The sequence below is a fragment of the Homo sapiens genome, chromosome 11 (assembly GCF_000001405.40).
Source record: "Homo sapiens chromosome 11, GRCh38.p14 Primary Assembly".
In the NCBI taxonomy this organism is placed as follows: domain Eukaryota; kingdom Metazoa; phylum Chordata; class Mammalia; order Primates; family Hominidae; genus Homo; species Homo sapiens.
Genome location: NC_000011.10, coordinates 120,644,402 through 120,671,021, shown reverse-complemented (window position 1 = coordinate 120,671,021; position 26,620 = coordinate 120,644,402). Strand labels below are relative to the sequence as shown.

The 26,620-nt window shown below is 48.6% G+C and overlaps 1 protein-coding gene across 22 annotated transcripts in view, besides 5 other annotated features; it reads right to left on the bottom strand.

Annotated features, from left to right (window-relative positions):
• Positions 1–26,620, bottom strand: part of GRIK4 (glutamate ionotropic receptor kainate type subunit 4) — a 477,159-nt gene that overhangs the window by 317,885 nt on the left and 132,654 nt on the right. For 12 of the 22 annotated variants that reach the window (NM_014619.5, NM_001440404.1, NM_001440403.1 and 9 more), the window contains 2 exons: positions 17,230–17,337; positions 10,622–10,753 (listed from right to left, as the gene is read on the bottom strand). In NM_014619.5, coding sequence (NP_055434.2) covers positions 10,622–10,703 — 82 coding nt within the window. In that variant the 5' untranslated portion in view covers positions 10,704–10,753; positions 17,230–17,337. Of the gene's footprint in view, positions 1–10,621; positions 10,754–17,229; positions 17,338–26,620 lie in introns of those variants that run through there. The other 10 variants (NM_001440405.1, NM_001440407.1, NM_001440408.1 and 7 more) reach the window with 2 other exon arrangements.
• Positions 3,021–3,530: an enhancer, noted in NCBI's record as "H3K27ac-H3K4me1 hESC enhancer chr11:120538201-120538710 (GRCh37/hg19 assembly coordinates)". NCBI's record gives its function as "activates a minimal SCP1, AML or CMV promoter by ChIP-STARR-seq in primed H9 embryonic stem cells {active_cell/tissue: H9 hESC(primed)}" and the evidence as "EXISTENCE:reporter gene assay evidence [ECO:0000049][PMID:30033119]".
• Positions 3,531–4,041: an enhancer, noted in NCBI's record as "H3K27ac-H3K4me1 hESC enhancer chr11:120537690-120538200 (GRCh37/hg19 assembly coordinates)". NCBI's record gives its function as "activates a minimal SCP1, AML or CMV promoter by ChIP-STARR-seq in primed H9 embryonic stem cells {active_cell/tissue: H9 hESC(primed)}" and the evidence as "EXISTENCE:reporter gene assay evidence [ECO:0000049][PMID:30033119]".
• Positions 10,265–10,765: an enhancer, noted in NCBI's record as "H3K4me1 hESC enhancer chr11:120530966-120531466 (GRCh37/hg19 assembly coordinates)". NCBI's record gives its function as "activates a minimal SCP1, AML or CMV promoter by ChIP-STARR-seq in primed H9 embryonic stem cells {active_cell/tissue: H9 hESC(primed)}" and the evidence as "EXISTENCE:reporter gene assay evidence [ECO:0000049][PMID:30033119]".
• Positions 24,570–25,276: an enhancer, noted in NCBI's record as "OCT4-NANOG-H3K4me1 hESC enhancer chr11:120516455-120517161 (GRCh37/hg19 assembly coordinates)". NCBI's record gives its function as "activates a minimal SCP1, AML or CMV promoter by ChIP-STARR-seq in naive and primed H9 embryonic stem cells {active_cell/tissue: H9 hESC(naive and primed)}" and the evidence as "EXISTENCE:reporter gene assay evidence [ECO:0000049][PMID:30033119]".
• Positions 25,277–25,983: an enhancer, noted in NCBI's record as "OCT4-NANOG-H3K4me1 hESC enhancer chr11:120515748-120516454 (GRCh37/hg19 assembly coordinates)". NCBI's record gives its function as "activates a minimal SCP1, AML or CMV promoter by ChIP-STARR-seq in naive H9 embryonic stem cells {active_cell/tissue: H9 hESC(naive)}" and the evidence as "EXISTENCE:reporter gene assay evidence [ECO:0000049][PMID:30033119]".

Genomic DNA, 26,620 nt, shown 5'->3' with positions numbered 1-26,620 from the left:
TTTGCAGGGACATGAATGAAGCTGGAAACCATTCTCAGCAAACTAACACAGGAACAGAAAACCAAACACCACATGTTCTCACTCATAAGTGGGAGTTGAACAATGAGAACATATGGGCACAGGAAGGGGAACATCAGACACTGGGGCCTGTCGAGGGGTGGGGGACAAGGGGAGGGATGGCATTAGAAGAAATGCCTAGTGTAGATGGCGGATTGATGGGTGCAGCAAACCACCATGGCACATGTATATCTATGTAACAAACCTGCACATTCTGCACATGTATCCCAGAACTTAAAGTATAATAAAAATAAAAATAAAAAAAAGAAAAAGGAAGCAGAGAAGGACAGAAAGTGTCAGGGGCAGAGGCAGGGCTAGAGGATGGTCAGGGCATGACCTGCATGGCATGAGAAAGTGAACCACACAGATATCCAGGTGAAAAGTGTTCCAGGCAGAGGGCACAGCAGGTGTGAAGGCCCTGGGGCAGGAGCACACTTGGTGCATTTGAGGAAAAGCAAAGAAGCTGGTGGAGCTGGGGGTGGTGTGTGGCATGAGTGAGAGGCAGGGTGGTAGGAAATGACAATAAAATTCATCAGAATAAAGGGCAGTTCATGGACCGCCCTGTGGGCCACTGTGAGGACTTCATCTTTTATTCTGACATGGGAAGTCAGCAGAGGACTGGAGCAGTGGACTGACACAATCCAATTTACATCTTAAAAGAGTCATTTTTGCTGCCATTTTGAGAATGAAAAGTGAGGGGCAAGAAAGAGGCAGGGAAACTAACAGGAAAGGTTTGCAGTAATCCAGGGAGAAATAATACTGGCTTGGAAAAGGGAAGCACCTGCTGAGGTGGTGAGACGCAGTTGGGTTGTACTGGATATACTTGGAAGGCAGAGCCAACAGGACTGTTGATAGAGAGGATGTGGGTATCAGAGAAAGATGAGACCAAGGATGACTCCAAGGTTTGGAGCCTATGTCCACAGAGATAGAATGGCATTACCATTTATGAAATGAGTAGACAGTAGGAGAAGCAGGCATGGAGGGGAGAATCAATAACTCGATTTTGGACATGGCAAATCTGAGTTTCTGTTAGACATCCCAGTGGGGATGAATCTGGAGTTCTGGAAGGGGTCAGAGCTACAGATGAGATTAGAGAGTCATAAGCATATTGATGCTTTAAAGCCCTAAGACTGCATGAGATCACCAGGGAGTGGGCATGCAGAGAGAAGAGGTTTAAGGACCGGGCCCTGAGGCACATCCATCTTCAGAGATCAAGAGATGAGGAACGAGCAAAGGAGACTGAGAAGGAATAGCCAGAAACAGTGCAAGAACAAGATGGGGCGTGGTCTAGAAGCCAAGTGAAAAAGTGTTTCAAGGAAGAAGGAGGAAAAGACTATGTGAAATGCTGCTGCTAAGTCCAGTAAGATGGGGCCTGGGGACAGATCACTGGATTTAGCAATCTGGGCATCAATGCCCGGGACTGAAAGTCTGGTTGGAGAAGGTCCTATTGATAGGGAAAGAGAGAGAGGAGAGGAAATAGAGACAGCTTGAATAGGCAATTCTTTTGCAGAGCTTTGCTGTAAAAGGAAGAAGAAAAATCAGGAGCCCACTGTAGAGGGACAGCAGCTAAGGAAGGTTTTTAAGAAGCGGGAATCATTCAGCTCCATCAGTCAGTACCTGGGACAACTGCTCCTGTGTGAAGAGTCCACCAGGCTAAGAGGGTAGGAAAGACAGAGCTCTCTCCTCAGGATGCTCTTAGCCTCCCAGGGTAGATGGAATTCAAATAAGGTTTCAAAAAATGCTGCACAGAAATGGGGGGTAAGTGCCCAGAAAGAGTGCCACCCACACATGAGTGTGTGAACACACACACACCCACGCTTTGGAAGGGAAAGTTCCCTAGACAAGGTGGGGATTCTCATCTCCCAGAACAAGGTGAATTTAAAGCAGGGTTTAAAAGAAGAGAAGAGACAAGATTTGGTGGAGAAATGAGGAAGGGTGATCCGGGCAGGCAAAGGCTAGAGATGGAAACAGGCTGGCCCAGTAGTACTATTATCAATTACAGATGTCACTTTCATAGCACTTACTGTATGCCTGACACCATCCTAAGTGCTTCTATGCAGGAACTTATTGAATTCTTATAAAAGCATAAAACAGGGACTACTATTAGCCCATGTTATAGATGAAGAAATGGAGACACTGAGAAATTATGTTCTTGCCCAAAGTCATACACTAGTAAAGGGTGGAGCTCAGATTCATATCCGAGCAGTCTGGTTCCAGAGCCCACGCTCCTGGTGTTAATATGTGCACTGTGCTAGAGCCTCCCGGGAGCCAACTCCAGTGTTTCCCCACAACACATCTGACTCCATTCCTCAATCATATGAAAAGCCACTGAAGGAACCTGGGTGAGTCCAGGTGGAAGAGACTGAGAGGAGAGGGAGACATGGGGGACCCCCTTGTGGACTACCCTAGAGGACCAGTCAACCCCGTTCAGGTTGATTCCCCACCTGAAACACAGGGAGTGATGGGAGCTTAAAGGGCTGGGGCTGACGTCTTCCCCGGGGTAGGGTTTCAGAGAGGTAAGCCTCTTTCTTTTCATTTCTTTTCTTTCCTTTTTGTTTTCTTTTCTTTTTCTTCCTTTCTTTTTCTTTCTTTTCTTCCTCTTTCCCTCTTTCTCTCTTTCATTCTTTTCTTTCTTTCCTTCCTTCCTTTCTTCTTTTCTTTTCTTTTTTCTTTCTCTCTTTCTCTCTTTTTTCTTTCTTTCTTATTTCTTTCATCTGCCTACCTATCTCTCTGTCTGCCTACCTCTTTCTCTGTCTGTCTGCTTACCTACCTACCTACCTCTCTATCTACCTACCTATGTACTTATCTACCTACTTATCTATCTATCTATCTATCTATCTATCTATCTATCTATCTATCTATCCATCTATCTATCCATCTATGAGACAGGGTCTCACTCTGTCACCCAGGATGGAGGGCAGTGGTGCTACCATAGCTCACTGCAGCCTCAAACACCTGGACTCAAGTGATTCTTCCCTCTCAGCCTCCCAAGTAGCTGGGACTACAGACACGATGAACCTTTTCTAAAGGGGTCATACTCAGATAGATAGAGTCTCAATTCCAGAGACCTCCAGTCAGGGTTGAGCATTAGACTGAGTCACAGTGCCTCTCGAGTCCAGCACAGTGGCACTGTCTGCCCAGCTATAGGACTGTGTTTGCCACTGCGTGCACATCTGCACCTGACTGGTCAGTGTCCTCTCCACAACACCCCTCATCAGTGTGGGTTTAATGGGCCTCGCTGGCTGGGTCCACCACGAGCTGCCCAGGTACCATATCTCAGCTCAATGGGAGGAAACACACACCAATGGGACAGCCTGACAGCTGTCTGCAGCACCCTGCTGCCCACACTACCCACCGAGCCGAGCCCCAGCCCCCGTAAAGCTGATAGGGAACGTGTGCCTGTTTATCCAGACTAATGAGAGCTAAGTGTGACCACTGTCTTGCCTGCTGACGAGCCGCGAGGCTGTGAGTGGGATGTGCTGGCTCCAGCGATGCACACGCACGCGTCCCGCCCACGCAGGCACTCGGCTGAGGTCTAGCAGCAGCTTCCACATTGCCTGTGCTTCTCCAGCTCTGCCATCAGTGGCCACAGGGAGGAAGGAAGCACCCAGACAGCCCAGGTCTACATCAACAGAACAAAAGAATTAGCAGGGTTCTTATGTCCTACCTGGCTTATCCAAAGGATTGGAGCCAAATGGGGTCATGGCTTAAATTAGGCAGCTGGTTGCCTCAATTCTAAGCTCTTGTTAATGGTTATTAATGAGGACACAATGATAATGAAATGTCTCCCTATGAGAGGATGAGAAGAGACCAAAGGTGAAAAGATTGTATCACCAAATCCCAGACTGAAGGGGGTCTTAGAGGTAACAGGTCCAATACCACATTTGAGGCTGAAATCCCTGTCCGACCTGTGTGGCCCCCTCCGGGTATGGGGACCTTGGTATCCAAAAAAGCCCATTCCATCTGCCTGGAAAACACTTTTTTACAAGGAATCAAAACCTCTTTCCATAATTTCCACTCCCAACACCCCCCACCAAAATAGAGCTTGCTAGTGACTCACTCCACATCCCAAGACGTTTTGTAAATGACTTCACAGAGCTGGAGACAGGCTTTTGAAATTCTCATGAAATATCACCATCACTCTTTCAATATGGTGTTCATCCCTGTTGAATCCAATACTGCCAGTCAGGTCCACTGGCCACGCTGCTCGATCCAACTGAATAGATACCATCAGCCCATAATATTCGTTGAAAACCTGGAGATACTCAGGCCATTCTAGCACAAATGAACACAGGCAGCCACATACCAAAATGATATGGAAATCAGCTCTGTTACCTAAGACTTCAGATATGGAACAATAGCCCCATCCCTTCATGTCTGACACTTCTACCAGTGGGATCCTTACCAATGATGGATCACAATATGCTTAAGAAAACAAAATAGAGAAGCAACACTTACTAACGCTCACTGCCATTACCTATGTGCTTTTTCTCTTTAGCTCTGCCTCGTTTTGTGAGCCCCCAGGCGTCGCCACACTGGCCCCTGGTGGCATTCAGATCTCACTCATCGAGAACACACTGCCAGCAGGCTATTCAGGACCCTGTCCCAACGCTGTCCTCAGATGCTTATCGGTCCATCCCCTTTGATGTGACCACTCTTCCTGACCTGACCACTCACCTCTATGCAAGCTTGGGGAAGTCACAAACCTGGGAGACTCAGGCTCCTCTCCACAAGATGTGCTCACTTCAACCTGCCTTGCAGGTCACCGGGGAAAGTGAATTAACATGTGTGTAAGAACACGCTATACACCACAAACCATGGCACAAATGTCACCCAGGCGGTTGGGAGTCAGGAGTCCTGGCACCACCAAAAGGGCATTCACCAATTCCTTTCACCTTTTGGGACCCCGGGATTTCTTATCTGTAAAACGGAATATCTAGGCCTAATTCATCTCTAACCTCTCAGTAGAAGAGATTACAGATGAAGTTACAGTGCACAATGGGTTTTGGAAAGGGCAAAAGAGAGAATAAACATCCCAAAACCACCCTTGGCTCCTGAAGACCAAGGGAAGACGGATGACACCACAGCATGCCAGCCTGAATATCTCTCTCACTACAGCCACACCTCCCTCAGTCACCCCAAAATGTGTTGGTGGCAGGGGAGGAGCAAGGAGGAGAGGAGAGATAGCCTTACATAAGCACAAGTGTGTGCAGACACACGCGCAGACTTTTTTTTCTTTTGGTAAAATATTTACTCTCCTAATTATGTATTTTATGGGCTGACAATAACATTGGTTGGCATTTTTAAACCTTGACCAATTCCTGGGGGAAGAGAAGTTTGCAAACTGACGGGTCAGCTCAAAATTCAGATCTTGCCACAGTGAATTCATTTAGCAAACATTTACTAAGCCCACTACTGTGGGCCAAGCACAGTGCTAGACTCTGGAAATACAGACATGAATAAGAAAGACACAGCCTCCCTAAGGTGCTTACCAGGGGAGAGATTTATGTCCTAGAAATCCTTCTATATTCCCCCCCTAGGTGACAGATGAAGGAGAAAGTCATCAATTTCTATTTGTCACTAATGTGAAAGACCAATTGATTGTCTATATGGGTGACTCAATTTGGAAATGAGATGAAAAGTTGCATGCTGATCAAAATTTCATAAATCAAATCATGTGCTAACATGATCAGAGGAGCCCACTGCTCAAACAAACCCATGGTGAATCCTCTACAAGGCAAAGAATTCAGCTGGTATATTTGAATCTCGGTGGATTAGATGTATTTAATACACAGCATAACAGGATAAGAAACTGGTGTTTTTTATCCTTTTCCCTTGTCTCCCCCAATTCTCCTATTATCTTTATCTTTATAACATTTCAATGTTCTATGTTGAACATTCTCCGTACAGAATTGGAGCTCATTGGGGGGAAACCAACTAAGTAAAAAATTACAGTTATAAAGTGCTTGGAGGGTCCTCGTAAGACAGAGTATAAAATAAATCCAAGCTCTTGCTGCTTTACCACACAGGGAAACCTTAAACAAGAGAGATTCAATTGCTGCAATAACCTGCTGATGTGTCTAATATGCCCATGCTGAGCAGAACTTCCCTTGCCACCTCGACTGAGCCCTGAAATCCCCATGCCTCAGTTTCCTCATCTCTCAACTAGACTTTGTGCCCTTTAAGAAATGCTTTTGAGGTAAAAAGTGTCCATAAAAGAGCAGGAAACTATATTAGCCATGATGATTCCATCTTTCAACTCCTTACCAGCAGAACACAATGTATTTAATGTGATGGCTGTGATAATGGGATATCCCAAATGTTTCCAGGGGGTCATCAGCTCTAGAAGAGCAGGAAGAGACAGCTTTGGAGACAGGTTCAAATTTCACTAGCTGTGTGACCTTAGGTTCGTTATTTAAACCCTCTGAGCCTCCATTGCTTCATCTGTAACAGGGGATTGTTTGGTCCAATGAAACTGGGTGAGATATGGGGAATACTTAGCCCAGTGCCAGGCAAAGAATGGGAGTTATTATTTTGATTATTATTGGTAGCACTGCATCCTCAGTGCTTGGCACATAGCATTCAATAAATATTTGTTGAGTTAATTAATGAATGAATAATTGTGTCATTGAGTTTATTATTACTGCCAAAGCTTTCATTAGAACCCAACCAGGATCTTCAGCCCATTCCTATTCTCTTTTAAGTAAGACAGACAGATGGACATTTTCTCCTTTTCCTCTTTCTCCTTTCTCTTCTACTTTCTCCAATAAGTTTACCTCTTTATGCATAGGTAAGACAGTGCCATTTAAAACAATGATACCAAACATGTTATTGGAAAACCCAGTCTTGCAAGAACCATGGATTCATCTATCCATCACATTCATTAAACTGCACCCATATACTTCTTTGCATCATGTGTTGGGCCCTTCTGTTGGGGATCACTCTCCCATGGAGTTCAGAGTCTAGTGGGAAAATGCCATAATCTTTAGAATATAACACGGCAAGTGCTGGAACAGATGTTATGTGCTGGGGGAATGGGGGAATGGTAGGAAAAAGATGAATTCTCCCTCTTACGGACAGGATGATAACGGGAAAGGACTTTGCAGAGGAAGAGCCATTTAAGCTGATGGTGATGGAGGAGGAAGACGAAGAAAAAGAAGAGGAGTAGAAGGAGGAGCTGGATTTGTTTTGCAGGCAGAGAAGATGAAACGGGAGGAAGAGCACTATAGGGAGAGCAGGGGAATGGGTAAAGCTGGGAGTAAATCCTCCTGGTATATTTGGCTCACAGGGAGTGGTTTAGTGTAGGTAAAATACAGAGCCAAGGAAGGAGTAACAAGAGGTAGGCTTGGAGCCTAGCGTTCATTCAGTTAACAAATACTTAATGAGTCTCAAGGTGTTAGGGGCAAGGGTAACACATTTGCTAATGTCTGAAATGTTTTCTGAACAGGAATGGAGGAAACTGTAGGAGAATATAACCTTCACATACTATTGAAGGTGATTCTGCTTCTCAGCAGCTAAGGGAGCCCATGGGTGCATGGAGAAGAGAGCACTGGAAGAGGAGTCAAGGATACCAGCACCAGTGTCAGCTGCCACCAGCCAGGCCCCTACTTGTCAGGTGACCTTGGCCAAACCACTGCCTGCTGTGACCCTGTTTCCTCATTTGCAAGATGAGCAGGTTAGATAACGAATCCTTACAGTCCCTTCCGGATCTAAGAATGACAATGATCTCTGGTCTCTTTAAGTAATGAAGGGGGTGCAAAGATGGGGTGGGGTCTCCTCAGGGCATTTATTAACTTGTGGCTCCACAGTTATCACTCAGAGGACCCAGAGGGACTGAAGCAAAATCCAAACACATTTTCAGAAGATAGATGATGGAAGGGGTTGACATATGTGTGAGAGTTTGGGGAATTTATGCAGCCAGCCTCACAGCCATAAATAAAATCCCTTTCTTTTACCCAAAACCTCATTCGAGGGGTAAACACCAAACACTGTAATAGACAATTTGGCTGTATCTCCTGCCCTGTACCTCACTTGAATGAAAAACAGCCATCACAAGGCAGGGTAATGGGTTCGGCCACCTCTTTCCAAACATCCATATTGTCACCAGCAGACAAGTGGGGCTGAGGATGGAGCAAACAGGGCGATTTATCTCTCAGATCCCTGGTCTCTTCATGCAGCCCCATTCAGAGAGCCACCCATTCTGAGGCTGGGGTTGGGGAAAACCCCAGAAAAACTCAAATGCAAGGAAAAGTGACCCCTGGGAAGGCGAGAGGAGCAGCAGCCCCTTCCCTTCCCATAAGCCTCTCAAGGACCCCAGAGACCCCAGCACAGTTAACGCCAGCCCAGCCCATCTGCATGCAAGGCTGCCTGCTGCTCAGCACAGCTACTTGTGTTTTCTTGACCCACTTCTCTTCCCATCCCTGCGCTACTCCACATCCCCTCTGGAGTCCATGTAATTAGCAACTTTCCATCCATAAGGATTGGGAGATTTTAAAAAGCTCCTGGCACTCAGGCTAACCAAGGAGACAGGAAGAACGGGTCCTGGCACTGCTGTTTGGGTTTTTCTTTTCTTCCCTTTCTGTTGGCTTAACTCTGCTTCCTGGCCTCTGCAGGAGATTAGGCCCGGTTTGACCTTGCCAGCCAGCAGGGCCCCTGGCTGGAAAGCGGCTGGAAGTGGCCTAGCATGAACCAAAACTGAGGGCCAGCAGTCTTGACAGAGCTGAACAAGCATTGTTCAGAGTATGGGTTTGGGAGCACGAGGGGTGCCTTTGAAGCCCTCTGTTGTGGCAGCCAAAAGAGGGACCTGTCAGCTCCGCTTTCTGCTTCCCTCCCAGAGCACAAGTGTCGGGAGAGGCGAGGCCATGAGGTGCTACTGATTCTGGCTCAATCCCTTTCCGCTTCCCATTAGCGACAAATGGAAATTGATGGGTTGCCACTTTATTCACTCATTTAGAGAGGGAGAAGACCTTGCAGCAAACGCTGAAAAACTATAGGCATCTTATAAATTAAACATCTTAAGGATATGAACCGTTTTGCATTGCTGCTAAGCAGAATTAAATTAGGTTTTGAAGTTTCTGTAAAAATGAACGGAGAAGAGGGAGGGAAAATTTTGTTTTTTAATTTCTTTTTTTTTAAGCATGCAGAGCAGTGTGTCGAGGGCAGGGTGAGGGGGAGAACTGGGTCACCTGTCCACATTTCTGATTCCAATCAGCTCCTCTGCATTTGCATGAAAAACTGTGCCCACAAGGTAAAACGAAGCAGCTCACAGACCTGCAGGCTGGGCTTCCGGCCTGTGACCCCTGGCCTAGCCAGGTTTTGGCTGCTCGCCCACCTCTGCCCACACCATGGCCTCCTGACCATCACCAGCACACCGACCTGAATGCAATTGGAGGAATTTGGGAGCTTTAAGTCAGCTCCCTGAGATTCAGCATCGTGCCATCTTTGCTCTAAGTCAGCCTCTAACCCTTTCAGGCTCAGGTTTAAGATCTAGATTCCTGCCTTTGCTCCCACCCCCAACCCCACCCCCAGTGTGGGAAGAGGGGCCTCATGTGGTTATCCGTTGGGGTAACCTGCCTGGTATTTGAGTTCCTCTAGGGCTGTCACTTAACTCTACCCTTGGGGCCCTGCTGTTGGATGGGTCGTCTTGTGGCCATCAACCTACCTTTCTGGGTTTGTCACTGCTGTGCCCCACCCACCTGTCCACACTAATCCCCATCCCCCGATGTACACATAGACACCCCTGATCCCCGACACCCCACATCTGTCCTAATTCCATGGGTTCTCTGTTGCTGGGCCATCAGATGACCACACTGCGCCTGCCGGACTGAACTGTGTCCTTGTCCCTGTGGCTGGCTGTGTCCCCAGGAACCAGGATCTAGAGAGCCTCAACCTGCAGTTGACAAGTCTTGTTCAGTCCCAGCAGGGAGGAGGCACCTGACTTCCCAGACCCGCCCCTCCAGGGATGGGATGCTGAGGGCTCAGGTGGAAGCCCGCCTGCCCACACCTAAAGTGGGCGTCCCACAGCAACAAGGCAAGGGAGAGACTCACATGACCCTGCCCTCCCTCTCAGAGCCAGGCCACAGCAAGCAGACCCAATGTCAAGGGCCCTTCCAAGCAGCCAGGCCACGCCAGCAGACTCCTGGCTTCTTCCAAGTTGTGGACATAGCACTCTCTCCAGGAAGCCTTCTTGGACTGATCACAGGAAAGAAGGGACCTCTTCTCCCATCTCCAGCCCTAGATTTGGAGTCCCCATGGCCATCCTCACCCTCCTTTTTCCCCGACAGCTGCCTCTTAACCTGCTAGGCTGAACCTACATTGACTGCACTAGGGAGTTATCAGCATCTTTATTCTAGTGGCCGGGGAGCTCAGCAGGTTGACCAGATCGGAGTGGTCACCTGTCAGCTGCCTCCACCACCACCACCTGCATGTTCACCCCAGCCACACTCAGGGAGGGCACAGTGCACGGGCTGGGCAGCTTCCCCAAGTCCTGTGCAGCACTCTCATGTCCCTTGTGGACACCTGGGATAGTGGGTGGGGGCACTGCCCCAAGCTGGGCCACACTTACCGATCCTCAAGGAGTGCGGGCTGCAGGCGACCATCACGAGCCACGCAGGAAGCAGCACCAAAGGCGCCGAGACGCGGGGCATCTTCTATGAATCCTCATGGAGCCCCCTGCTGGCCTGGGCATGACATAACTCTGCGAGAGAGGGGGTTGGGGGCACGTGAGTCCCAGGCTCCAGCTAGGCAGCTGCCCCACCATCCCAGTGACACCCAGGAGCCGGAGAGGCCCCTTTGTCTTTCCTCCTTACATGCCGGGCTCAAAGAAGGCTCAGGTTCTAACTTCAGCTCTGTGACCGACATGGGGCAGGTTGCTGTAACTGTGGTTGGATGATTCATGGCGTGTCATTAGAAATGAAGAACCTCATCTGCTCGCAGCCAGGCACAGTGGCTCACGCCTGTAATCCCAGCACTTTGGGAAGCCAAAGTGGGTGGATCACTTGAGGCCAGGAGTTTGAGACCAGCCTGGCCAACATGGCAAAACCCCGTCTCTACTAAAAATACAAAAATTAGGTGGGCATGGTGGCGCATGCCTGTAATTCCAGCTACTCGGGACCCTGTGTCACAGACTTGAACACAGGAGGCAGAGGTTGCAGTGAGCCGAGGTTGCGCTATTCGCCATTGCACTCCAGCCTGGACGACAGAGCGAGCCTTTGTCTCAAACAAACAAAACCCTCATCTGCCCTTAAGGAATTGGAGCCATGGGTGAGCAGAAGAGGAAGGGATGGGAGAGTTGGGAGGGTTACTCCATTTCCCCAAACGCAGCACAGGCACTGCACACTGAGGAGAGGTGTGAGAGGAAACTGGGTTCAGGCCAGCTCTTCCACTTGCCAGTTGTGTGGCCTTCACAAGGTCCCCTCTGTGTCTCGGCTCAGTGTCCTCACATGTAAAAGTACTATAACAACCCCTCCTGGTGGAGTTGAACTAAAGAAGAATCAAGGTAACATCGGAGAAGCCACCATGCTCAGGGTCTGGCCTAAATGAGGTGCTACATAAATGTCAGGTCCTCCCTGGCCCAGATGGGAGCGGTCCATTCCTAGCAAATATGGAGAGCAGACACACACCTCCCAGGTTATCAGCTGCTTTCCACATCTGCTCTACTACCGCTGAAAACCAGCCCCACCCCCAACCTCTACCAATCCCTCTCCTCCTTCCTGAGGTGGGTGGGCCTCTGATGTCAAATCCAGAACCTTGCAGGGAGCTGCCTCTCCCCAAGGCAGCACGTGCCTTGGCCCCCACTGAGACCCAGATTCTGCCGACAGCCAGCTCTGCTGGCTTCACTGGGGTGAGGGTGCGGCTGATGAGCACCTGGATATGCTAATCCCAGGTGCCTGGATTGGGAGAGTAGTATTAAAATGTTTAATTTTAATACAGACTCACGCCTGTAATCCCAGCACTTTGGGAGGCCAAGGCAGGTGGATCACGAAGTCAGAAGATCAAGACCATCCTGGCTAACAGGGTGAAACCCCATCTCTACTAAAAATACAAAAAATTAGCCAGGTGTGGTGGCAGGCGCCTATAGTCCCAGCTGCTCGGGAGGCTGAGGCAGGAGAATGGCGTGAACCGGGGAGGTGGAGCTTGCAGTGAGCCGAGATCGTGCCACTGCACTGCAGCCTGGGGGACAGAGCGAGACTCCGTCTCAAAAAAAAAAAAAAAAAAAAAAAAAAAAAAAAAAAAAAAGTTTCGTCCTCCAACCCCTAGACAGACAATCCAATAGGAAAATGGGCAAAGGCTTGAACAGACACTTTACTAAAGAAGATATCCAAATGGCTTACAAACATCTGAAAAGGTGTTCAGCCTCATTAAGCATCAGGAAAATGAAATTTTAAACTACTGTACACTCACTATAATGATTTTAAAAAAAGACAACATTAAGTGTTAGCAAGGATGTGGACAAATTGGAACTCTTATGCAGTGGTAGTAGGTGTGTAAACTGAAATAAGTACTTTGGAAAACTGGTATACTAGAGCTTTACATCTAGCCTAATGACCCACTAACTCTATTCCTAGGTATTTATCAAGCAGAAATGCATGTATATGATTAGCAAAGACATGCACTAGAATGTCTATAGCAGCACTCTGGTGGTTTCGTTTCCCCAAACTGGAAACCACCCAAATGTCCAGCAGCACGATGGAGAAATACATTATATATGCACACAGTGGAATGTTATACAGAAATGAAAATGAATAATCGACAACCACATGCAACAGCAAGGATGAATCTCATAAATATAAGATTTAGCAAAAAAAAAGACTGGTACAAAAGATTACACATTCTAGAGACAGAATAATTCTGTCTATATAAAGTGTAAAAAGATTACAAAAGATTACACATTCTAGAGACAGAATAATTCTGTCTATATAAAGTGTAAAAATAGACCAAACCACTCTGTGCTGTTGGAAGTCCAGTTTCATGGTTAGGGTAGAGAATGGCAGGGGACACGAGGGGACTCCCCAGTGCTGGTGATGTTCTCTGGTTTTCACGCTGAGTGTTGCTTGCAGAGGTGTGTTCACTTTGTGAAAGATCACTGAGCTGTAAACTTATGGGGTGTGCACTTTTCCTTATGTGTGTTATGCCTCAGAAAAAAATCTTGTTCAGGGACACTCCGCCTCCCCCAACACACTCAACATTTCATCCACACGCAGAGCCTTGTCACTTCCTGTGCACAGGGCATCCCTTCTGCCCAAAGAACACCCCTCTGCTCACCCCTGCCATGGCCAGAATGGGGCCTCTCTCTGTGAGCCATCAGCACCCAGGCATGGCTCTGAGAGCAGCACTTTTCCTGCCTCTGCTGTTGCCTTTATGCGTCTAGGCCTGGGATCAGTATGTGCTCCTTAAGGGCAAGGACTGTGTCCAGGTTCCTGTTGCATCCCCAGGGTCTATTTATACATAATAGGTGCACAGCACATATTTGTTCAATGAATGGAAGGCCTCAAGCAATCACCTGCTAGAGGAAGACAGAGGAAGATAAAGAGTAAAGGATGGGGGTGAAGGCAACTCCGCTGTTGGCAAATCAGGCCCAGAATCTTTGTTCTTTAATTCATGGGTGTTGGTGCAGGGATAGATTAAAGCAAACACAGTCTTAGGAGAAGCTAGACATTCTTACTTATTATGGATAAAGTTGATTATTCAGTGATTTTCTGTCTCCCTACTAGAATTTAAGCTCAATAGAGGTGGGGCAAGGACAGGAATCTTGTTTGGACTATATCCCCAGGGCCTAGAACAGTGCCTGGTATATTATACGGCCTTAATAAATATTTGTTGAGTGGATAAATATTTGTTGAGTGGAACAAGGAGAAAAAAACTGTAATAATCCAGTTAGGCTATATAAAAGTACTACTAAATACAATCACTTACCTCAAATGCCTTCCATTTATGCCTGATCAGCATGCTGCACCATAATTATTAAGCAGACTGCTAAATAGGTGTCAGATTACCCTGTGTAAATTTTATTTGATGACAGAACTACACGCAGTTCGTGCAGGCCTGAGGAACTGAGTGAAGCTGCTCATGGCCCCAAAGACTGGTGGATCCTGGAGACTACATTTATTTTTGAGACAGAGTCTTGCTCTGTCGCTCAGGCTGGAGTGCAGTGGCGCGATCTTGGCTCACTGCAACCTCCACCTCCCAGGTTCAAACAATTCTCCTGCCTCAGCCTCCCAGGTAGCTGGGATTACAGATGCCCACCACCAAGCCTGGCTAATTTTTTAGTGGAGATGGGACTTCACCATGATGACCAGGCTGGTCTCGAACTCCTGACCTCAGGTGATCCACCCGCCTCGGCCTCCCAAAGTGCTGGGATTACAGGCGTGAGCCACTGCACCCAGCCGAGACTACATTTAAGCATGACAGTGGCTCAGGTCCTGGGCTGCTCTTGGGCCTCAGCTCTGTGACCCCCTAGACACAGTGATGAGAAATAATTTCCTCTTAAATCTTACAAGAATGAAAAGAGCCACCATGTTGCATGTCTGTAAGGCTCAGTGGCTTGCAAAAATCTTTGCACAGTCTTTATCATAGTTAAACCGCAGAACAAGCTCTATTACAGATGAGGAAGCTGTGCCCAAGAAAAGATACATGACTAGCTGAAGGTCGCATAACTGTCTGGAGGTAGAGCCAAGGCTAACCAGGTCTCTCACTCCACTAGCTTTTCTATCTTAACTGCTACAGAGCAGAAAGATGAAGCTTTCAGATTCTTCACCAAAAAACACAAAGACATTTGGGGTCTTCTTTTCAGCTTAACATTCAGATAAATCTAGTCTTAGGACCTAATAATGCATCCTTTATTAACAGAAAATATTTTAATAATTCAGGGGCGAAAAAAGAACTTATCCTGAAGTTAGAGCACCAGGTTGCTCTTTCCACGACCATTACCCTCCATGGGGGGTTTCTCCCCTGCCCATGGTATATTCTCCTCCACCTGCATGCTGTGGCATTGACATCTACAGCTCAAGCCCAGACTTATGACCGCACATCTGCCTGGTGACATCTCTACCTGGGGATCCCACAGCATGCCACAAACACCTTGTCCTAAAAAGAAGGCGTAGTCTCCACCAAGCCCGCCACCTGCTCCTCCTCCTACTTCCTCTTCTTAGTAGGTAACACCACAATCCACCAGTCACCCAAGCCACAAGGCTGAGAGTTACCCTAGATTTCTCTGTTCCCACACCCCCACATTTAATAAGTCCCCAGATCCTGACAGCGCTGCCTCCTAAATACCACACCTTTCTCTCCACCACCACCGGCTGTCCAAGCACAGACATTTGTCAGCAACAACCTGGATCTCTGCAATACCATCTTCATTGGGCCCCCATCCTCTGGTCTTTCTCTCTCCATTTGGTTCTCCATAGAGCAGCCAGGGGCTTCTTACAGAAATACAAACTTGATAATGACACACTCCTGCCCTGAAGTCTTAGGGAGCTCTCCATTGCACAGGAGATCAGGGCAATCCCCTCAATCTAATGGATAAACCCTCCCATGATCTGGCTTTGCTCACCTGTCCCTACCCTGTACCCTACGGCACCTGATGCCCCAGCAGAGCCAAAGCCCCACTCCTCTACAAAAGTTGTGTGTTTTCACTGTGCCCTCTGCCCCCTGCATGTGCTTCTGCTTGGAATGCAGTCCCATCCCCTGATGGACTGCAAGCTGTGTTTTCCAGGTTCAGCTCATCAGCTCCCCTCGAGGCTTCTGTGATCCCCTCCCCATCTGCTGCCACCATACCCTAACATGCCTCACTGGGACACACATCCTACCTATGACAACGATGCTGTCTGGAGAGCACCAAGTACCCAGCACCCTATCTGGCACATAGTAGGTGCTCCAATAATATCGGCTGAATGAATAAATAAACAGACGGGGCCAATATGAAATAAATTCCCAGTTTGGTGTGTGCATTTTGTATATTCACTGTAGTTAAAACAAACAACCTAAGCAGACATAATGCAGCAGATGCAGGCCAAGGGGAATCACAGTAATATATGCCGAGAAGGGGAGGGAAACAAATGTGTGCCGCCCTCTGATTCTGTGCCTGGGGCTTGGTCTGGCTGCCACAGGTAAGAACATGGGGCTGAGTCCTACACTGCCATGTACTAGCTGCACACCTTGGGCAAATCAGCTAACATCTCTAAACCTTGACTTCTTCATTCGTAATATGGGGATGTTAATAGTCCCCTCGTGGAATTGCTATAAGGATTGCATGATAAGATGCTATGCACTGCTGCTCAGAGTAAGCACTCAATAATAAATACTGGCCAGGTGTGGTGGCTAACACCTGTAATCCCAGCACTTTGGGAGGCCAAGGCGGGCAGATCACGTGAGGTCAGGAGTTTGAGACCAGCCTGGCCAACATGGTGAAACCCGGTCACTACTAAAAATACAAAAGTTAGCCGGGTGTGATGGCAGGCACCTATAATCCCAGCTACTCGGGAGGCTGAGGCAGGAGAATCACTTGAACCGGCAGACAGAGGTCGCAGTGGGCAGAGATCACACCACTGCACTTCACCCTGGGCAACAGAGCGAGATACTGTCTCAACTAATAATAATAATGATAATAATAATAAATACTAACTCTTCATGGCCACGCACTCATCCTGTAAGATGGCATTGCATCTCCATTTCACAAATGAGGAAGCTGAGGCTCAGAAAGGCTCAGTAACTTATCCAAGCTCACGCAACAAAAACAGCAGTGCTGGGTTCAAATTGAAGTATGTGTCTAACCATATGCAATCACAAATCCCAGGCCCCTGCTTTGACTACAGTTGAATTCAGCAGTGTTGGCAGAATTTAGGTTGAAAGCAGGTATGTCAGTACAGCTTCCAACCTCAGAGGGTCTCTGACAGTCCCCACCTAGACAGAGCTGGGCCTCATTCCCGTACTTTAGGTAGTTTGGAAGACAGACAGTTCAAAAACAGAAATTCCCCATCTATTTGACAACCCTGTTCTCGACACCCAACAGGTAGGAGCCTTGCTGATCCTGAGTGCAGAGGGAAGGGAAGGCCCAGACTAGACAGAAGCTGGGCTCCATCTGGCTCTGGGCCTTACAATGAATGCTCTTGAGCAGCTGCCCCCCTCAGAGCCTGCCTCTTCCTCCACCAGTAATATGGGAATGGCAGTGCCTACCTCCGGGGTGATGAGCGCCAGGAGAGCAGGGAGCAATTCGGGCTTTTCCACCTGTGTCCTCAGTGCCTAGCACAGGCTGGCACATAGTAGGCACTCAGAAAGTATCTGCTGGAATAAAAAAAGAGTCCAATCAGAGAACATATGTGGAAACACTCTGTCAACTGCAAGTATTTACATGTGAGTGGTATTTGGTGTCACTGAAGAGGAGGAATTTACAATCTAGGTACGATTTCTCTACCCATGCAGGCTCTCCTCCTTTGACCCTCCAGCCTTCACTGTCCGCAGCTCATGGGGCACCATTTATTCACATGCTGTCCCCCAAAGCCCTCAAAGATGCACTGTGAGCACCGCACTCAGAGCTGAGGCTTCCAAGTTCTCACCTCTGCTTAACCATTTACCTGCCCAGGATGTGTCCTTACCTTAACACCAAAAAATCAGTGTCTCCTCTTTTCCCATAAGGGGAAACTCATTTCCACTTTTTTACAACTGCAAGACTGGATCCATTTTCTCAACCTAGAAGATCCTCTAACATCTCTCTCAATGGAAAGAGACTGGCCCCCTGGTTCCATGCTTGTACTTTGAATACAAGCCCCATGAGGGCAGGAGCTTTAACATGCTTATTCACCTTCAGCACCTTGGACAGTGCCTGGCATGCAGCAGCTACACATAAATACTGTCAAATGCATGCATGCATGAATGAATGAATGAATGGCTATTTCACTTTGCATTTTTTAAAGCAGGGGAACATCTCTTTGGGGCATGTATCACCTGCCACACCTGCTATTATGTCCATACTGACTAGAAGTTTAATAAATGTTTGCTGATTCATGAGCAGCAGCCAGTTCATAAGCACAGACAGGCACCACCTGCAGACAGCTCATGGTATTCTGGCTGTGCACATGCTGTCTGGACTCCATCGGCCCAGTTGTGCAAATAGCCTCTCCTCTCCTGACTTGTCAGCAGTCCCTCCGCTGGTCTCTCTCATCCTCACAGGGCTACTACATCATTAATTGTGATTTTCTGAGGTGGGTCAGAGAGGAGGCTGATAGCCACCAGTCTCTGTGGGGCGGCAGGAAGGGTAGAGGGGATCAGAGGGGCAGTCAGATTAATGACAGCTTTTTTCCCCGCTGTGGGCAACAAGATCTTGATTACTCTTCCTGATGCTCCAGGCTCCTCAAAAAAAAAAATGGATGTGAACTTCTCTGCTGTCCTGACTCCCCCACTGGCTGGGAGAAACTCCAAGTGGCAGCCAGCAGCCTGGATGGAGTGTGCAGGGGTAGGGGGTGGCCATGACAGGGGAGTGAGTCTGCTCCAGCCTCTGTGGCCTCCTTGAGGGAGAATCAACCCTTGTGGCCTAATGCAGTTGGGCAGCACTTTCTAGGTGTCCTCTCTCCCTGACAACAAATGGGGAGATGCCAGGATGCAAGACTATCCCAGGAATCAGGAACCTGGGTGCTCACCAGCTCTGGGAGTCAACTCTCTGAGCTGCAGTCTCTCATTCTGTAAAATGAGGGAATTAGACTAGATGATCTCTAAGGTTCTTAGAAGCTCTGGGAATTCTGCAGTTGTAAGAACTGAACTCTATGATAATATAATCTTTATTGAATATTTACTATATGCAAAGTACTACTTCAGACTCATTTACTCCTCAGGAGAACCCTGCGAAGCAGATACTGCCATCCTAACTGCCATCCTCCCCACGTGCAGACCTGGAACTCAAAGGCGGAGAGGTTGTGTAACTTGCCAAGGTCACTCAGCGGGGAAATGGAGGAACTGGGCGTTGGCTCCGGGAACTTGTTCTCACCCATCACTCACTACACCCACCTTCCCTGCATGTCCCAGAACCTAGCATGCAGTTGGCACTTGAGAAAATGTAGGAATGTGATTATGATGATCATAATAATGTTGGAGAATAAGTCAAGCTAAATGCAAGCAGGTCACCTGCACATCTTGCTGAATAAGGGGGCCAGCAACAGAAGAATGCATCTGGGAGTACCCTTTGGCCAAAAGATCAGCCCAGGTGTCCCTGGCCTTTAGGAATTCCCATGAGGAGATGCTCCCAGGAGTCTGTGATGAGTTAGGATACAGCAGGTTAGCCAGGGGTAATGAGCATTCACTCTGGGAGCTGGACCTGGTCTGACTCACCTAAATAAACTGAAGAGCAGTGGCGGCACTGACCACCCAGCCCGGGTCCAACTTGAGGGGAGGACGTTCCCTGAGCACTACAACTGTGGGTACATGGTAGGAACCAGGCCACAGGACTACAGACAGTCATGCCAAATGCTCAGGCAATAAGGAGCAAGAGGAATGAGGAATTACAAGTCTTGTTTCCTCTCTACATTTCACACAGATTTCAGACCCCTAATGCACCTCTAAACAATGGCCCCTCCCCAGAGACATGATAAGACATCCCTGGCTTCCAATTCCAGTTGTCACTATGCATCCTTGGGCTGGCTGCTTAATCTCTGAGAACTTTATTTCCACAACTGTAAAACTGCAGACAATAGCTCCCTGGAAAGGTTGCTTCAAGAGACCTCAAGTATAATGCAGTCAGTAAATGGGAACTGCCTTTCATCTCTCCACCCCATTCAGTGCTTCCTTCCAGCCCTTGTACACAGACACTCTGATGGCATCCTCATCTTTCCCCAATAGGATGGCCTCCCATGCCTGCTTGCTGGTATTAATCCACAGCCCTCTGACCTGCAGAGTGCAGGTCCAGATCAACCCCATTCCCAAAGCTTTCCCTGAAGAAGTCAGTCCTTCTGGCAGAGGAGAAAAATCGGCAGATTGGAAGTAGAGGGCTGCGTGACCTTGGACCCATCACATAACCTCTTGGGGCTTCCATTTCCTCTGCTGTAAGGTGGGAAATGACATTTGTATCATCTTCCTTACTGGGTTGTTAATAGGATTCAATGAGATCATGGAAGTAGAATTACTTTGCAGGTGAGTAAAGTGCTTTTGCGGCCAAAAGATCTATGTTGTTCCCATACCCAAGACCGGTCAAAGCATGTACACATACCGAATGCCACTATACATTTATACTTTATTCAGTGAATACTACTGAGTGTCTACTGCATGGCAGGTAATTTTCCAGGCCCTGGGATATATACAGTCCCTGCCTTCATAGAGCTTACAGTCTGGGACATTAAGAGACACTAATCAGATATTCAGGTGTCTTGATGCCATAATTACAGACTGTGAAGGAAAAGAACAGGATGGTTCAGGGTGCAGCAGGGAGGGAAGACCTCCCTAAGGATGAAATGTTTGACTTGAGTTAGCCAGGTCTGGGAGGGGGGATGCGAAGAGCAGGGAAGAGACCAGGATGGAGAAAACAACACATGAGGAGGGCAGAGGCCTAGGATGGGATATGGCACAGTGAGTTTCAGAAATCACAGGGAGTCTGCTGAAACCACAAAGCTAGAGCTTCTTTTCTGCGTATCTACTCTGTTGATTTCCAGTCTCCCTCATTAGCTGTGGCATCCGTAAGTACAAAAGCCTGTCCCCTCTCCCTCTGCACCCCTTGGTCTAGGATAAGGCTCTGCATTGAGGGCCGATTTTCTCCATGAACCCTGAACTGGACTCAGCATCCTTCACAGAAAAGGCAAGGAGCCCGCAGCTCCCATCTCCAGTACACTGAAAGGGAGGTAGGCAGAGGTGAGAGGAGGAAGAGCTCATTGCCAGCCACGGGAGGTGGAAGATGAGGCCCACAGAGCTTCCACCTGTGGGATGGGAAGGGCAGGACTGGCTCTGAATGGTGACAAATATCCCTGACATTTATCTGAGGCCACCAGGCTGGGCCCTGGGGGACATGCGCTCCTGGCAAAGACCACATGAGCCAAGGCTTTGAAACAAAACAGCTCAGTTCTGAAGCCACCTATAGCACACTTAGAGCAGAGACACCTGGCAGAAGGGGTGCCCACAGAGGAATCAAATGAGCAGGAGAGAAGACCAACTTGGAGAGAACAACTTTTAAGGACAGCATTTTAATCACCTCCAGATAAATATAACCCTCTCTCCTCTGCTAGGCATCTCTCTGGGTGTTTGGGAGGAGATGAGCAGTCCTGCAGATGACTGTCTGTGTTTGAGTGAGGGTGTGTGTGCTGCAACCTTCCCTAAGGAGGACTGAGAAGAGCTGGGCTTCTCAGCCTGGAGAAGAGGGTGGGATGGGTGGCAGCTGTGTAATGACCCATGCAGGCACAATGCCACCACCTGAAGCCAGCGAGGGCTATGCTGGACTCCCAGGTGACGGTACTCAGGTCAAAGCCAGAGGAAAGCACTGGAACGGCTGTTCGTGACAAAGAGGAAGTCCTGAGGCTGACAGCTGCTGGGCACAGACACAGAGCTCCTGTCCCTTGGCCTGGCTCCATCATGCCCAGGTGGAGACCCCACTACATCTGTCCTGTCCATGGCCACTTCTGGTGCACATCAGTGCTTTTTGTTGTCTTATCCACCATCGTCAGAAAGTAGGCCCTATCTTTTTTTTTTTCTTCAGTCTTAGCCAGAGCAGGTGAGAAAGGAGCTATCTCTGGATGTGCGCATTCCTTGGAGAAACCCAGAATCAGCCCCCCTCAGCCCTCCCAGGTGTGTGGGGCAGAGGGCAGCAGAGCTAGATAGGTCCCCAGCAACGTGAGCGGTGTCCTGCTGAAGGTTCGGAGACCTATGCCACTAGAGTCATCCAAGCTCAGAATAGTCTCTCGGAATTGCCTAAGGGCACATGCAGGGCCCATGCCACCCCTCCCCTTCCATCAGCCCAGTTAGCACTGACTCCCATCTGCTTGGGGCAAGGCCCTGGCACCAGGCTCCCTCGGGGGCCAAGGGAGGAGAAACTGGCTGCTGACTGGCTGCCCCCAGAGAGGGGATACAGGACTCCAGTCGGAGAAGGAAGTAGACTTGCTTTTCATTCTCAAGTGTTCTCTATTGTTTGCATTTTTAACTGAGAGGTTAGACTGGTTTTTCTGTTTGTTTGTTTGTTTGTTTGTTTGTTTCACTTAAAAAGTCTGGTTAATAATTACAAACACAATAAAGAATCCTGACTCTCTCAATACCTAGCTCCAAGACCTGGGCCTGTTCCTTAACCCCCTTAGCCCGCATCCCCCCTCTGCAGAGTGAGGCTAATACACCTATGCCCAGGTTCAAGTGTTCAGTGAATGCTGGGCCTGCCTAGGTCTCTGGTGGCCTCTCTGGAACATTCCTCCACAGCCTATGCTCTGGCTGCCCAGAGAGAAGCTGGAGCTCAGTGCTGAGCCTGGGAGTTCACCCCAAGACCTGCACTCCTCCAACCAGGATCACCCCCTCCACAGCTGGTATTCACCTGCCTACAGCCATGATTCTCACCTCAAAGATCCCTGGCTCTAGTTCTTGGCTGGATCTCAGGCCCTCCCTCAGGGAAGGAGGAACTCTGGGGAACCACTATGTTCAGTCTCCTAAGGGGGTCAGGCATGCAGAGGGCACCCCATCCAGAGGCTGCCCTGGGCATCTGCATTTGACACAGTTTACAGAAGAGAGCCCGTCTAGGGCCCATCACCTTCCCTCTGCCAGTGGCCTAGAGATGTCACAGAAACCACAGGCAAAGTCAGGCTAGTCTCCGGCCCCTGGTTTAGAAGTCCAGAGGCTGAAGGCTCAGCCCCCTCTGGTCTATAGTCACAGGACAGCCTTGAGGAAATCCTCAACCTCCCTAGCTAAGCAAGTGGGTCATCCCTGCTCTCAACAAGGATGGGACCTTGGTGAGGGGGCACATACACCCGAGAACCCAGCTCCGGCGGCCAGAAGAGGGAAAAAGGCTGTGGGTACTGTACCTCCTCCAACAGGGGGCTGCCACATGGGCAGATCTCACAGCTCTATGGCACTGCGCCAGCATACCCACATGCTTGGGACCCACCCAGCTCCATGCTGGGCACTGGCGGCCACCGGGACCCTCCGATGTGGTGCCTTCCCTCAAGAAGCTCCCTGGAGAAGTAGGATGTCCTTGTGTGAAGAGTAAAACAGGCTGCGGGAACTCAGCATGCCCGGCCACAGCGAAGCCGCTTTCATAAGTCAGGGTGGCCTCTGTCACAAAACAAGGAACAGTGCTGGAAGGCAGGCAGAAAAATGTCCCTGCGCCCCTGCAGTTGCAGCAAGAATCTTGGAAGATGTGGGCCACACACTGAGCCCCGAGGCATGTGCCGGGTGGGGAGAGACCTTCCAGGTAAGTGCTGGGGAAAGCAAGCAAGGGCTGTTCGAAGGATGGTGAAAAAACCAAATCTGGCAGGAGCCCATTGTTCCTGAGGGGCTCAGAGATGGGTAAGTATTGCAGTCAGATTCTGGAAGGCCCCAAATGCCATGGTTAAGGAGTTTGGACTTTATCCTCCAGGCAACAAATAGCCATTAAAAGTTTCTGGGCAAGGGAGGGCCAGGACCAGAGCTGTGCTCTCAAAAAATCCATGGGACCAAGGGGCGCCCGATGGCCTGGAGAAGTTAACAGACACCTAGCAACATGTTGGGGGTAGTGTGAATGTGGGGAAAACTGACCCTGAAGCAAACTGGGCTGATTCCACTGGAACATCAGAGCACAGACATTTTCCCACAAACTGGAAAAGAAAATTTCCAAGCAGCTATGCGTTGGGTAGGAGCGTATGGTGGTTCTCCAAGGGAAGCAGAGCCCTGGCAGGTCCAGAGCCAGTCTCTGTAGGATGTGGGACATCAGACACACTGATGAGTCTGGATCCGCTCATCCCCAAATGTTAGGCTCTAATGAAAGTATCTTTGTAGTAAAGGGTCTGGACTTGGAGTCAGAAGGCCTGTGTTCAAACCTGGTTTTGCCACTTGTTCCCTGGGTAACTGTGGTCAGATCCTTGAATCTCTCTGTGCCTTACTTTCCCATAAAATAGGAGACATACTACCTGCCCTGCCTACTTCACCAGGCTGTTCAATGATCAGGGATGTTACATGTGAAAAATGGTTTGATAACATGCAGTGAGAATTAAGGAAGGTTTTCTTCTAAATCAGACCCCTGTGGTTGGTTAGTTCCTAGCATTCTTCTTCCAACGCGCCCTACCAATTCATCCCCCATCTTATGTTCTAGGATATGTCTGACTCCCTATCTCTCAGATTTATTGAACAGATGAATGATTTATCTTTGTTTTCTTCAAAACACCTAGGACAATGTTTTCCACCTAGTTGGAGCTCAATAAGTGTATGATTGATTAATTAATAAAAGTGAACCTACAGAGGATGTTTTAATCCTATTCATCTTTCCCCTACTCAGTGACTCATCTTAATATCAATGCTAGCAAAAAAAATAATTAGGATGGCAAGCTGGAGATGTCCCCCCACTCCCTCCACTCACAAAACTTCACAAAACTCCCAGAAGGAGGCAGTACAAGGGAGTGGTTATCCGCACAAGCTCTGCATCTGTTTTAAACAGAGCTCCCAGAGCCTGGGTGCCGCTACCTACCAGTCATGTGACTTGGGACAAGTGATTAACCTCTCAAAACCTCAGTTTCCCCATTCACAAAGTGGAGAAAATGCTAGACATTCCTAAGGTTGCTGTCAAATATTAGCTGCGATCTTAGCAGTATGCCTGCAAATAGCAAGTGCTCAATGTTTGACAGCTGTTATTGTGATTATTGCTATTATTGTCCAAAGCCAAATCACCATGATTTGGGGAGACTGGTATTTAGGTACAGATTTTCCATTAGTGTGGATGATTTTGAGTACTTTGTGACAGCCAATGGATTAAGCCTCTCAAATGCCTTAATCGACAATCAGTTGGACCCCCAAAGTCAACTAACATCCCTGCTATGGAACGGCATCTGGGGCTGGGGGCACTGAATGGATCAGTCGCCCTTCTGGTGCTAACCCAGCGTTAATGGTGCAAGTGAATTACAAACAAGGCCCACCTGCTGTGCTCAGCAACAAAACCCGGCAGGAGGGTAATTGCCCGGAACTTGAGTGCAGGGGGACACAGCGGGCATGGAACACATTAACCACAGGGAAGAGCAACTTCCCAATGCTTTCGTTTTCCAGCCGACCCAGCCAGCAGGCAAGGGAACGTGAAGGCGGGCGCCAGATAGGGAACTCTCAGGAACCACAGAAGAAAGGTGCTTCCAGACCACAGCTGGCTGCCCAGCCCAGTCCCTCAACAGATCTGAGAGCACGGGGAGATCACCTACACCAACCATGCACAGGGACACTGATGTTCCCCATGTCCACGTGGATGCCAAGGATTTCTGGCATTGAAGTCCCATCCGGGTGATCCAACCATAGGAAGGCAGCCTCTTTGATATTAAGCCCCCGACATGAGTGATCAGGAGTAGATGATGGGCTCACCAAGGTCAGTATAGGCAGTGGTGGCATGGAGGCCATCCATTTGTTCATTCATTTGTTCACCTACACACTCAACATCCATTCCACATACCGTTGCATGTGAAAGGAAAACTAATATGACACAAGACATTCTTTCCAGGGGCTCACTGTGTTAGGGGAGGCAGGCAGAGACATCAGTCACCCGGCACAGGCTGGGAACCGCAGTCACACAGTCAAGGAACGAGGCCCAGGCTGAGACCTCTCAGCACTGCCAAGGCACGGTCAGAGGAGGCTTTGCAGAGAAACAGATCTTCACGCTGCTCTTGAAGGACAGACACACACAACCACCATACATACACATACACACACACACACACACTACACACCATATATGCATATACATATCACACATCCACACAGACATACACATATACAAGGCATACCGTACACACATATGTACATACACATGTACATCATTGATACATGTACATATACGTAGACACATACATACATGCATCCTCAGGTTTTAGGCACCTAAGAAGGAAGCGTAAGGCCCAAAGCTCTCATATCTCCACCAAGTTCTTTTTTTTCTTTTTTGTCCTCTTTTTTTATTATTATTATACTTTAAGTTCTAGGGTACATGTGCACAACGTGAAGGTTTGTTCCACCAAGTTCTTAACATGCTCTAAGACCGAAAGGAAAAGGACAAATTCAAGTACAGGGCAGAGAACAATCCTTGTCTTTGATCGTCCTCATTGTCTATTGCAGGCAAGGAAGGGCAACCCCTTCGCCTTCTCCCCTTCTACTGGAAGGTTCACCGGTGACCTGAGCAGTGACTTCACAGCCTTGGACTTTCCTCCTGGCCTGGCTGCAAGAACATCCTTCCTCCTCCTCCTGAGACATCAGGCCACGGAAAGAGGCAGCGATATTCCAGGCAGCCTCCGGAGCAACTGGCATAGGTATTCCTTCTGGAAGGCTGAGTTCCAATCCCAGCTCCCTCACTTACTGTGACCAAGACATTAACCTCTGAGCCTCAGCTGCCTTGTCTGTAAAACAGGAATAATAATAGTACCTACCTCACGGGGCTATTTGCAGTTTCAAATGAGAA